General features: G+C 48.1%; 1 protein-coding gene across 3 annotated transcripts, besides 3 other annotated features; it reads left to right on the top strand.

Moving 5' to 3' along the window:
• Positions 6-10,610, top strand: MYL2 (myosin light chain 2). Of its 3 annotated transcripts, none has more exons than NM_001406916.1 (7): positions 6-66; positions 2,262-2,351; positions 5,665-5,740; positions 7,165-7,269; positions 8,131-8,209; positions 8,311-8,359; positions 10,280-10,610. In NM_001406916.1, exons 2-7 carry the CDS (start codon positions 2,316-2,318, stop codon positions 10,376-10,378), a joined length of 444 nt encoding a protein of 147 aa, NP_001393845.1. In that variant the 5' UTR covers positions 6-66; positions 2,262-2,315; the 3' UTR covers positions 10,379-10,610. The 3 variants fall into 3 exon arrangements, with proteins under 3 accessions (NP_001393845.1, NP_000423.2, NP_001393674.1); NM_000432.4 differs by lacking the exon at positions 6-66 and adding an exon at positions 876-928; NM_001406745.1 differs by lacking the exons at positions 6-66; positions 5,665-5,740 and adding an exon at positions 876-928 and having other exon boundaries at positions 7,131-7,269.
• Positions 68-2,502: an enhancer, noted in NCBI's record as "VISTA enhancer hs2149". NCBI's record gives its function as "enhancer in: heart[5/9]" and the evidence as "EXISTENCE:transgenic organism evidence [ECO:0001131][PMID:17130149]".
• Positions 3,043-3,542: an enhancer, noted in NCBI's record as "H3K27ac hESC enhancer chr12:111355717-111356216 (GRCh37/hg19 assembly coordinates)". NCBI's record gives its function as "activates a minimal SCP1, AML or CMV promoter by ChIP-STARR-seq in primed H9 embryonic stem cells {active_cell/tissue: H9 hESC(primed)}" and the evidence as "EXISTENCE:reporter gene assay evidence [ECO:0000049][PMID:30033119]".
• Positions 3,543-4,044: an enhancer, noted in NCBI's record as "H3K27ac hESC enhancer chr12:111355215-111355716 (GRCh37/hg19 assembly coordinates)". NCBI's record gives its function as "activates a minimal SCP1, AML or CMV promoter by ChIP-STARR-seq in primed H9 embryonic stem cells {active_cell/tissue: H9 hESC(primed)}" and the evidence as "EXISTENCE:reporter gene assay evidence [ECO:0000049][PMID:30033119]".

The following is a 12,452-nucleotide window of genomic DNA, read 5'->3' as shown; positions in this document are numbered from 1 at the left end:
TGGGCAGTGTTCGGGACTGCCTCACGCTGTGCAGAGAAACAAAGAAGGGAGATCGGAGCGCAGGAGGTGCGTGGCTGTGTTATTTGTTTGTTTTGAGACAGGGTCTTGCTCTGTCACCCAGGCTGGAGTGCAGTGGTGTGATCGTGGCTCACCACAGCCTCAACCTCCCGGGCCCAAGTGATCCTCCTGTCCCAGCCTCCTGAATAGCTGAGACTATAGGCATGCACCACCACGCACAGCTATTTTTTTTTCTTTTGCGTAGAGACAGGCATCTCCCTATGTCACCCAGGCTGGTCGCAAACTCCTAGGCTCAAGCAATCTTCCCGCCTCGGCCTCCCGCCGTGCTGGGATTTCAGGCATGAGCCACAGTGCCAGCCTTCATGGTTATTTTAAAGATGGTGGTCGGGGAGGCTTCACTCAGGAGATGACATATGAGCAAAGATGCAGTGAAGGAGGTGAAGGAAGGAGCCGTGCGATGACTGACAGAAAGACATTCCAGGTAGAGGGCACACAGGTGCAAAGACCCTGAGGCCAGATCCAGGCTGATAAAACAGAGCATTTTAGCAGTCTCCTCTCCCTGCCATTTTTTTTCTCAAAATTGACAAGCACAAGTGTCCCCGGCCCAAGCACCGCAGAGAGCGCGCAGCATCTCTCCCCGTGACCATGACCCAGCTACTGCCTCTTTAACCTTGAATGCCTTTTTGGGGGCTCACGTGTCACCCAGTGGCGAGTGAGCCACCCTTACTTCAGAAGAACGGCATGGGGTGGGGGGGCCTTAGGTGGTGCCCGCCTCACCTATGACTGCCAAAAGCGGTCATGGGGTTATTTTTAAACATGGGGAGGAAGTATTTATTGTTCCTGGGCTGCAGAGAGCTGGGCGGAGTGTGGAATTCTTCTCGGGAGGCAGTGCTGGGTCCTTTCCACCATGGTGAGTACAAGGGCTCCAGGAGGTGATGATGCCGGGTGGGCGAGGAGAGGAAGCCACTACAAGCGAGGGACCACGGCGGAGGGGGAGGAAGGCGGCCCTCAAAGCCTCCAGCCCCTTGTGGAAAAAGCCCCATTGACTGCGCGGGCACAGAGGAACCCCAATCAATGCCCCGATAGGCCACAAATAACAGCAGCTCTCGGGGACTCACAAACACAAAATAAGAGAGTTGGCTTTTTTATGGCTTGTCTACTGACCTCTCGAGGAATCAATAACTCCCAGGACTTGCAAAATGGGATTGAATGCTTTTAAGGATCAAATTGTAATTCTTTTCTCTTGTTCAGGCAGCTGGGAAAAAGAATGTTTTTGTTTTCACCTTTTGAACTTGCAAATTTAAAACCTTTCTTTCTGTGCTGTTGGGTTAGGTGTCCCCCTCCTGAAGTGGGCAGTCCCCAAATCAGGGTCAGCACAGGAGGGAGAGTGGTTAGAGGCAGGAACTCTGGAGTCAGAATGCCCAAGTTCAACTCCCCAAGTTCAACGCCCAAGTTCAACTCCGGCTCTGCCTTCTGTGTGTGTGGCTGTGTGATCTTGGGCAAGTGACCCAACCTCTCTGAGCCTCAGTTGCCTCTCCTGTAAAATGGGGATGATAATAATAGTATCCACTTGACAGAGTGGTTATGAGAATTAAATAATACATATGTAGAGTACCGAATCATTTGCTGTTATTGAAAGTCAGAGAGAAGTGGGGTGGGGAAGAAAGGTCAACTCGCTCTTCTCTGCCCTATTGATGTGGTGCAAGGACGGAGCATTCAGAGAGGAGGTTTTGCTGCCATTTGGAGCAAGGGAAAATTGTGGGGTGTGGGGCGCAGTTGGGTTTTAACACCTTGAAGAACTGTCATTTCATCTTGGCATTCATCATGGCTTAGTGAGCCTGACTTTTTCTTTCCCTCCAATCAATTCTCCTTCTGTGCATTACTGAGCTTTTTGTGAAATGCATCAGAACAAAAGTGGCTGGATCCTGCAGGGGCGATCTGAAGGTGTGGCCTCCATCCCCAGGGACACACCTGTGGCTTCTCCTAGTTGGTGAAGGAGCCACTGCAAGATGCACAAACGCTTATGATCCACTGGTACCAGAGGGCTCTGGAGAAACTTCATGTCATGTCCTTTGCTCCCTCCAGCATCACCGTTTGGAGACCTGAGTGTGGATGCTGTACCCACATTTCACAGATGGGCAGCTGAGCCCTGCAACAGAGATGAACACACCCAGAGTAGGGGCCTGACCTAGTTTTTTGACTCCCAGCCTCTCACTCTTTTAATCGATGCTTTTTTCCCCCAGGCACCTAAGAAAGCAAAGAAGAGAGCCGGGGGCGCCAACTCCAACGTGTTCTCCATGTTCGAACAGACCCAAATCCAGGAATTTAAGGAGGTGGGTGCAGCTATTGAATCATCCGCCTGGATGGAAATCCCACCCACGAGGGAGAACCTTCTTTTTGTTCCATATTCCCAGCAGGGACCTTTCATTAGATGCCTCTATCCTCCAAACAATCCCAAATTCGGCCTGAACGGATGTGTGAATTTTTAAAAGAAACTATTTTTAATATTTTCACTGATTATCAAAGTAAAACATATTCCATGTTGAAAAATGTTGGAAAATTTTTCAGAAAAGCACAGAAAAGGAAATAAAAACTACCTACAATTCTATTACCCAGAGATAATCAGTTCACATTTTAGTATATACCCTTCAAACCATTTTTGTTATCTATGTATATATTTATTAAACAAAATTATAATCTTCTGTGCCCACTGATTACACCTGCATTTTTTTCGTTGAGAAATTCACCATTAACATTTCCTATCATGTATTTAAACCATTTCCTATGGTTAAATATGACATTTGTTTATAATGTTTTACTACTATAAATAACACCTCTTTGCTTGTATCTCTGGTTATTTCTTGGGGGTAAATTCCTAAAAGCAGAACTGCTGGGTCAAAGGAACTTAAAACAACAACAACAAAAGAACTAAAAACAGGCAGAACTGCTGGTCCGAATTGCCCCCCAAAATCACAGCACTAATTCCTATGCCCAGCAGCCTCGTGCCTTTCCCCACATTTCCATCAACGCTGGGTATTAATAGTCACAATTTTTTTTTGCCAGTCTGAGAGGTGAAAAGCAGTATCTTCTGGGTTTTACATTTTACAGTCTTTGATTATTAACCACTAGCCCCATTTGAAACCCCATCGCATTTGATGGCAATGGACCTTATGAAGAGAACCAAAGTACCAATTAGGCCAAACTGCACACGGGCTTGGATGGACAGGCTCAGAATTCATTTTCCAGCCGTTGCGAGGGCTCACACTGACTCATCCACATTCCCACCTGGCTTTCCAGAGGGAACTATGCTAAAATGATGCTAAAGAGACCAGACTGCTTTCTTTTTTTGTGCGTGTGACAGAGTCTCGCTCTGTCACCCAGGCTAGAGTGCAGTGGCACAACCACGGCTCCCTGCAGCATCAACCTCCCAGATTAATCAATCCTCCCACCTCAGCCTCCTGAGTAGCTGGGACCACAGGTACACACCACTGTGCCCAGCTAATTTTTGTGATTTTTGTAAAGATTGAGTCCCCCTGTGTTGCCCAGGCTGGTCTCAAACTCCTGGGCTCGAGCAATTCTCCTGCCTTGACCTCCCAAAGTGCTGGGATTACAGGCATGAGCCACTACACCCTGCCCTAGTGTGCTTTATATCAAAGGGGAAACCATTTGGGGCTTCCAAACAGGAAATGAACAGTCGTACCTTTTGTCCTCACTAACATTCAGATTGCAGGAATGCCGTGTCCCATAGGGAAAGAGAAATTCCTGAGGCAAGTGTCATATCTGAACTTGAGATAGTCACCTTCCAGGCAGAAAGCTACACCCGCCTCTTTTCCCAGCCTCTGGCATCAGCTGCCGGCGGTGTGGGTAAGGGATGCAAAGAACTCAAAACATGTAGCCAGGATTCCCCATTTGGTCTGTTTGTTTGTTTGTTTGTTTGTTTGTTTGTCTGAGTAAATGGGATTACAGGTACTCACCACCATGCCTGGCTAATTTTTTTGTATTTTTACTAGAGACAGGGTTTCACTGTGTTGGCCCGGCTGGTCTCAAACTCCTGGCCTCAAGTGATCCCTCCGCCTCGGCCTCCAAAGTGCTGGGATTACAGGCGTGAGCCACTGCACCTGGCCTAAAGCTATTATTTTTTAAAAAGCTAAAAACTGGTGTCTCATCTGGCCTCTCCACTCCCTAGCCTGCCCTATCTATAAAATGGGACCAGTAATCTATCTCAGCTGACAGTCAGGGAGATTCTCAGAACTTTATAAATGCCCAAGTGTTTTACAAATGAGGAATCACGGGCCAGGCACAGTGGCTCACACCTGCAATCACAGCACTTTGGGAGGCTAAGGTGGGCAGATCACTTGAGGTCAGGAGGTTGAGACCAGCCTGGCCAACGTGGTGAAACCCTGACTCTACTAAAGAAAAATAAGCTGGGCATTGGTGATGCGCGTCTATACTCCCAGCTACTCGGGAGGCTGAGGCAGGAGAATCGCTTGAACCCGGGAGGCGGAGGTTACAGTGAGCCGAGATTGCACCACTGCACTGCGGCCTGGGTGACATAGCAAGACTCTTTCTCAAAAATAAATAAATAAATAAATAAATAGCTTTATAGAGTTATAATTTGCATACCATAAAATTCACCCTTGAAGTGTGCAGTTTTGTGGTTTGCAGTATACTCACAAAGTTGTGCAACCATCACCACTATCTAATTTCAGAATATTTCCATCACCCCCGAAAGAAACCCCATACCCATTAGCAGTCACTTCCTGCTCCTCCCTCTCCCACCAGCCCCTGGCAACTGCTAATCCATTTTCTGTCTCCATGAATTTCCTGTTCTGGACATTTCATAGAAATTGAATCATACAATATGTGGTATTTGTGTCTGGCTTCTTTCACTGATGTTTTAAGGCTCATCCATGTTGTAACCTTTGTAGGAATTTCCCTCCTTTTTATGGCTGAATAATATTCCATTGTATGGACAGACCACATTTGGTTTATCCATTCATCAGTTGATGGACATGTAGGTTATTTTCAGTTTTGGGCTACTGTGAACGATGCTGCTATACACATTTGTGTTCAGGTTTTTTTGTTTTTGTTTTTGTTTTCCGAGATGGAGTCTTGCTCTGTCATCCAGGTTGGAATGCAGTGGCATGATCTCAGCTCACTGCAAGCTCTGCCTCCTGGGTTCAAGCAATTCTCCTACCTCGGCCTCCCAAGTAGCTAGGATTACAGGCATGCGCCACCACGCCTGGCTAATTTTTGTATTTTTAATAGAGACGGAGTTTCACCATGTTGGCCAGGCTGGTCTTGAATTCCTGACCTCAAGTAACCCACGGGCCTAGGCCTCCCAAAGTGCTGGGATTACAGGCGTGAGCCACTGTGCCCAGCCTTGTGTACAGGCTTTTATGTGGACATGTTTTCAATTCTCTTGGGTATATATCTAGCAGTGGAATGTCTGGGTCATATGATAACACGAGGCCTGACGTTTTGAAGAAACTGTTGGATTATCTTCAATTGTTGACTTTTAATCTGAGGTCCTACAATGATCTTTGAAGATCCCAGAATCCACTCCTGCCAAGTCCTTGGCCCAATCTCTTGGGCAACTCTGCCAGTTTCTCCCAGGCTGAGCTGCCAATCACTTCCCTTCCACAGGCCTTCACTATCATGGACCAGAACAGGGATGGCTTCATTGACAAGAACGATCTGAGAGACACCTTTGCTGCCCTTGGTATGTCACCCTCTCTAGCCCTGCATGAGGGTCTCTTTATCTCACATCCATGAGGAGCAGGAGGTGGGACCATCAGAAAAGCTCAAGATGGTGTCATTTCCCAAAGAAACAACTCTGCCACAACTGGTCTTTAAGACAAATTTCAGGGGATGGGAAAGAAGTGTTTAGTCTTTGAGTACCTTCAGATATCTTTTTTTTCTCTTGAAATAACTTTTTTGTGTGATTTTGAATGCAATGTCAGCTCACAACAGAAAATGGGGAAAAAATGCAGAAAAGTATAAAGGAGAAAATGACATCACCCAGAAGGTCATATTCCACTGTGAACATTCCAGTCCCTCCTCTAAGTCTTTCTAGACATGTCTGTTAGGTTTGGGTTTTAGTTTTTTAAATTATTGGAATCATTCTCTTTCGAATTTATCTTCTAAAATGTATCATCTCAACAGTGTGAGCATGAGTACATGGAGTTTCTTCAAAATATACATGCCCAATCTGCTACCCGCCACCACCACTTACTCCTGACCTTAGAACTCAGGGCAACCATACACAGCTGTGCAGACTGCGCACTGCACAATTCTACAGGGAAGTATTCACATTTGTAGTGAGTGTAGCTTTTTATACTTAAAACATACATTGGCTTAAAAAATGACAGATTTTTCTTATTTGCACAAAGTTAGGCTTGTGGCAGGACTAGAGCAGGTAAATCAGAACCTCCACGGCTGTGGGTTACAGCAGGTTTAACTTGTAAAAGTTCCCTCAGGTGATCCTGATCTGTCTCTCCCGCCTCCAACTGTGAAGGGCTAATTTACAACATGAGCCTTTCCCATTTGAGTGAAAAATGAAAATATCTGCATCAAATGTTCCAGGTTCTGAAGACACTATTTTAAATATAATGAACTGGCCGGCATGGTGGCTCACACCTGTAATCCCAGCACTTTGGGAGGCGTAGGCTGGAGGACCACTTGAACCCAGGACTTCGAGACCTGCCTGGGCAACATGGCAAAACCCTGTCTGTCCAAAAAACTACAAAAATTAGCCAGGCATGGTGGCATGCACCTGCAATCCCAGCTACTTGGGAGGCTGAGGCACGAGAATCGCTTGAACCTGGGAGGCGGAGGTTACAGTGAGTCGAGATTGTACCACTACACTCCAGCCTGGGTGACACAGCCAGACCCTGTCTCAAAGAAAAATAAATAAATAACGAACACCTTCCCACATCAGATGTTAGGGTCGCTTCCAGTCATTTGGTTATTATAAATAACACTGTCAAGAACATCTTCTCAGAAAAGATCTTTGCCTCCATCCACCCCATCTCTGATGATTTCTAGACTAGATTTCTTGAAGTGGAATCCCAGGAGCCAATGGCAGTGTCATAATGGTTCTTTCTCCCCAGCTCGGAGTCCCTGAGTGTGTGTTTCCTACCCTAGGGCGAGTGAACGTGAAAAATGAAGAAATTGATGAAATGATCAAGGAGGCTCCGGGTCCAATTAACTTTACTGTGTTCCTCACAATGTTTGGGGAGAAACTTAAGGGTAAGGTCGTGTGTGTGTGTGTGTGTCTGTGTGTATGTGTCTATGTTTCTTCGGGGGGGCTGGCAGAAGATGGTTAACTTTAAAAGAGATAAAGCACCATTGGAAAAAAATAATGAAAACAGCAACTTGGCTGGGCGCAGTGGCTGATGCCTGTAATCCCCAGCACTTTCAGAGGCCGAGGCGGGCAGATCACTTGAGGTCAGGAGTTCAAGACCAACCTGGCCAACATGGTGAAACCCCATCTGTACTAAAAACACACAAAAAAATTAGCCAGGCATGGTGGTGTGCACCTGTAGTCCCAGGTACTCAGGAGGCTGAGGCGGGAGAATCCCTTGAACCGGGATGTCAGAGGTTGCAGTGAGCTGACATTGTGCCACTGCACTCCGGCCTTGGTAACAAGGTGAGACTCTGTCTCAAAACAAAACAAAACAAAACAAAAACACAGCAACTAACATTGCTCCAAGACTTAACCTAAGTCAGACCTCATGCTAACCACTTTATATGCATTACCCCACTTAATAGCAACTAGGAGGTATGCTCTATTCTTATCACCAGTTTACAGATGGGGAACTGAGACTAAGAGACAGAAAGTCCCTTGTCTGAGGCCACATGGCTAGCAAGTGCCAGGGTTAAGATTTGAATCCCAGGCTTTCAAATCTAGATGATGTTTGACCTTGGGTTCTCAGCCCTCTCTTCGAAATACAGAGGCTCAGTGATCAGACGAAAGCAGGGTCTTTTTCCTCCATGCAAAGCAGCCTTGCTCTGGCCCCTTCATCTCTGGGGGAACTTGGGCCCTGCTGCCTGGGGTGCCAGTGGTTCCCAGCCACCCCCAGTACATGTAAGCCCTGTGTTCCGTTTCAGGAGCGGACCCTGAGGAAACCATTCTCAACGCATTCAAAGTGTTTGACCCTGAAGGCAAAGGGGTGCTGAAGGCTGATTAGTGAGTGGGGTCTGTGGGGGAGGAAGGGGGTTCCCTGCTTGCCCCCTGTCCCCCCTACACACACACAACTGACACCAACACCTGCTTTCCTTTCTCTGCAGCGTTCGGGAAATGCTGACCACGCAGGCGGAGAGGTTTTCCAAGGAGGAGGTAATGGGGTCCTTCAAGCACTCCCTCTAACCCAGCTCCTGGGTTCTCCTTCTGGGGGGCTCCGTCTCCCCTCTCGTCTAAAGCACCCCTGACCCCACACTGACAGAGAACCAGCTATCGTCTTCTGAGGCCTGGCCTCATTTCATTCTCTGCCACCCTATGAGGTAGGGACTGGCATAACTGCCATTTTACAGATAGGCAAACTGAGACCCAGGGAAGTAAAGTCACTCATCTAAAATAACAATAATCACACCTGTAATCCCAGCACTTTGGGAGGCCAAGGCAGGAGGATCACTTGAGACCAGGAGTTTGAGACCAGCCTAGCCAACATGAGGAAACCCTGTCTCTACTAAAAATACAAAAATTAGCTGGGCATGGTGGTGGACGCCTGTATTCCCAGCCACTCAGGAGGCTGACGCATGGCACGAGAATCGCTTGAACCCGGGAGGCAGAGGTTGCAATGAGCCAAGATCATGCCACTGCACTCCAGTCTGGGCAACAGAGCAAGACTCTGTCTCAAAAATAAAATAAAATAACAACACTAATAGTAAATGCCAGGACCTAGATTCAAACCTAGGTCTGCGTGACTGCAGGTTCTGCCTTGCTCACGATGCATAGAGACCTGCTTAGAGCATGACATTATTATGGCGTGAAGGGCCGCCACATACTGTCATGTGAGTTGTGCACTGAACAATTCTTCTAAATGTCAGTTTCATAAAAGTCATCAGACTGTGTATTTGTTGCAACAGCTTTCCAGAACTGGCAGTAAAGTGTCTGGTAATAATTTTTTTTTTTTTCAACTCAGGTGGTGCGGTAGTGAGTTTGGTAGAAGGGGCACTTTTGCTAATTTGCCAAAGCTTCTGTATGAGCAAGCAATGGTGCCGTCAACCTTATTAGTGAACCTTAATGAGTCGATTTTAAATGCTCCCCTCATAGCCTCACAGGCCTGTTTCCATCAAGTTCCACATTTTACTAAAAATTGTATGTAGATTTTCCCTCCCCCAAAATTCAAGCAGCTAAAAGGGCTGCCTTCACTTTCCACCTGCTGTGTGCTTTGAACAAGCTCCTTAACCTCACTGCACCTCAATTTCCTCATCTGTAAAGTGGGAATAATAATAGAAGCTACCTCATAGGAGATTGCGAGGATTCGACATGTTAATGTGGGGAAAGTGTGAACTTGTGGCAAGGGCAATATAAGTGCTAGCTATGAATAGCCAGTATGTTTTAAAAAAATAATAATAATAACTAGCCAATGCTTTTTAAATGGGGAAATTTTGTGTAAAAACAAAAATCTAGATTTCTGACACCCTGGACCCTGTGGTCACTTCATGTCACCTTTTTAGATGGCCACGTGTCTCCATTTAGCCATAGGACCTATCCTGCTCCCTTGCATAACCTGCCTGGCCCCTCGGAACCCTTGAGTTTGTGATCCCAGTGGAAGGCTGGGTTTCCAGGGACATCTCTGCATGATGTTTACTTGGGAGGGCCCTTGGGGTCAGGGAAGGAAGAACAGGGAAGGGCAAGAAAGGAAGAACAGGGAAGGGCAAGGAAGGAAAAGTGCATGAAGGAAGAAGTTGAGCCAAGATTTAGGCCCAAAGATCGGCACTGCTGACTACCCAGGGAGGGAGCTTATTCTACAGCTCTCCTGAGAGGTACCAAGTTGGGCGAGATGGCCGTGCCTTTATACCCCCACACCAATCCCATCCGCTGGCTGTGGGCTGCCCCAGAAAGGGCATGACCTTGGGCGAGGGGGCCCTGCAGCAGCTGGGGAAGTCCTTCCCCGGAGGACCCTCTGAGTGGCCCATGTTCCCATCCCCCACCCCCCAGCTATCCGTCCACTCAGGCCCCGCCCACAGCCCCCCACCCTCCGTCTCAGTTCCCCTCCCCTCGTCCTTAGCACGTGTTGCTGGCTCATTGCAGGTTGACCAGATGTTCGCCGCCTTCCCCCCTGACGTGACTGGCAACTTGGACTACAAGAACCTGGTGCACATCATCACCCACGGAGAAGAGAAGGACTAGGAGGGGGCTCGCTGCTGCGCCCTGGGCTCGTCTTTGCAGAGTGGTCCCTGCCCTCATCTCTCTCCCCCGAGTACCGCCTCTGTCCCTACCTTGTCTGTTAGCCATGTGGCTGCCCCATTTATCCACCTCCATCTTCTTTGCAGCCTGGGTGGCTATGGGTACTTCGTGGCCGCACATCCTACAGTTGGAAATCCATCCAGAGGCCATGTTCCAATAAACAGGAGGTCGTGTATTTGGTCACGACATTTCTCTGACAAACAGTGCCTTGTGTAAGGAAGGCAAAGGCAGATGAGCTAGTGACAGCCTTGCAGTCATTATTATTGAATCTTGGTGACTCTTTATTTAAGGTAGACCTTTGCAGCCACTCAGAACTGTTTCTATCAAGGATCACGTTTTCCTGGAATGTTACCTGGATGACCAAAGCCCTCTCTTCCAAAGAGCTCAAGCATTTAGAGGGCCTTGCTTCCATGACATCTGTCCCTTGGGATGCCATCGGAATGCCTCTCCTGCCAGTGACAGTGACAAGAAGGAAGCGGACTGACACATGGTAGGAACATAGCTCGTTCAACAGTAATCACACCTGCTAATCCTAAGAGGGTGACTTCTAGTTTCAGATAAAGTAGAAGTTGTCTGTACTTCTTCCCTAGCAAACTGAGGGAGTGGTACTGACTTCTGTCTCTGTCTGGGGCCCAGGCCTGGATGTGAGTTGACCTTTGATTTTGAATGACCACAGTCACGGTTGAAGCATTCAGGTCTGTTATGGCTGCAAGAGTCCCAGTGTAAGAAACAAATAGGGCCAGGTGTGGTGGCTCACGCCTGTGATGCTAGCGCTTTGAGAGGCTGAGGCAGGAGGATCACTTGAGCCCAAAAGTTTGAGACCAGCCTAGGCAACATAGTGAGATCCAATCTCTATAAAAAATAAATAGCCAGGCATGGTGGTGTGCACCTGTGGTCTCAGCTACCCAGGAGGCTGCAGTGGGAAGATCGCTTGAGCCCAGGAGGTCGAGGCTGCAGTGAACTGCACTCCAGCCTGGGTGGCAGAGTAAGACTCTGTCTCTTAGAAAAGGAAAAAAAAAAAAAACAGAAATAGGTTCAAATAACTAAGAAGTCCAAGGGCTTCAAGCACAATTGCACCTAGGAGCCCAGGCAGTGCCCTCAGAGGCTGGGGAGGCCTCTGTTTTCTGTCACGTTGCTCTGCTCTCAGCAGTGGCAAAATAATTAAGAGCAGCTCCTGCCCCTTTTCCAGCCCCTCAGCAATCCTAGAAGAGCGTACTCCTCTCTCTTCCAGCTCCACACAAACATCAGAACAGGGCCTTGTGGGATCCCTCTGGGGCACTTGACACCCCTGAGCCAATCACCATGGACTGGCAAGGGCAGTGCTCTGATGGACAGGCCTGGCTCAAATGATCAGCCCTGTGCTGGGGTTGAAATCAGAGTCCTCCTGAACCATATGGCCTGGAGATGGGAGGGAAGATTCCCCAGAGGAAAACCCAAGAAGAAGCAGGGAGTGGACTTCGGGTACTTCAAGTTTTCAAGAGAATCCCAAGAACCCTCCCAGCACTTTGGGAGGTCGAGTCAGGCAGATGGCTTGAGGTCAGGAGTTCGAGACCAGCCTGGCCAAAATGGCAAAACCCCGTCTCTACTAAGAATACAAAAATTAACCAGGCATGGTGGCACATGCCTGTAATCCCAGCTACTCAGTAGGCTGAGGCAAGAGAATCACTTGAACCCGGGAGGTGGAGGTTGCAGTGAGCTGAGATCACACCACTCACTGAGCTGAGATCACTCCAGCCTGGGCGACAGAGCCAAACTCCGTCTCGGAAAAAAAAAAAAAAAGAGAGAGAGAGAGAGAGACTCCTAAGAACCCAAGAACCCAGGACACAGCCCAAGTCAGTGATGTGATGGGAAGAAGCTGAAATGTGGTGACGGAGTGGAGCTGGGGTCACAGTGAAGGCAGGAGGACCCAGGAGGCCAGAGGAGCCACAGTTAGGGCCAGTCCTCAAGGCTTGACAATGACAACAGTGGGAGGAGCTCAGGGCTGAGCCATTAACAAGACGAATGAAACTGTCCCCTG

The sequence above is a fragment of the Homo sapiens genome, chromosome 12 (genome assembly GCF_000001405.40).
Source record: "Homo sapiens chromosome 12, GRCh38.p14 Primary Assembly".
Lineage (NCBI taxonomy): Eukaryota > Metazoa > Chordata > Mammalia > Primates > Hominidae > Homo > Homo sapiens.
The sequence above is the reverse complement of the archived record's forward strand: the minus strand, read 5'-3'. Positions and strand labels throughout refer to the sequence as shown.

What these genes read in the sequence shown, in the direction of transcription:
- MYL2 (NM_000432.4), top strand. An exon ending in GGGGTGCTGAAGGCTGATTA is followed by an intron (nt 8,210 to 8,310) that starts GTGAGTGGGGTC and finishes CTTTCTCTGCAG; the next exon opens with CGTTCGGGAAATGCTGACCA. An exon ending in AGAGGTTTTCCAAGGAGGAG is followed by an intron (nt 8,360 to 10,279) that starts GTAATGGGGTCC and finishes GGCTCATTGCAG; the next exon opens with GTTGACCAGATGTTCGCCGC.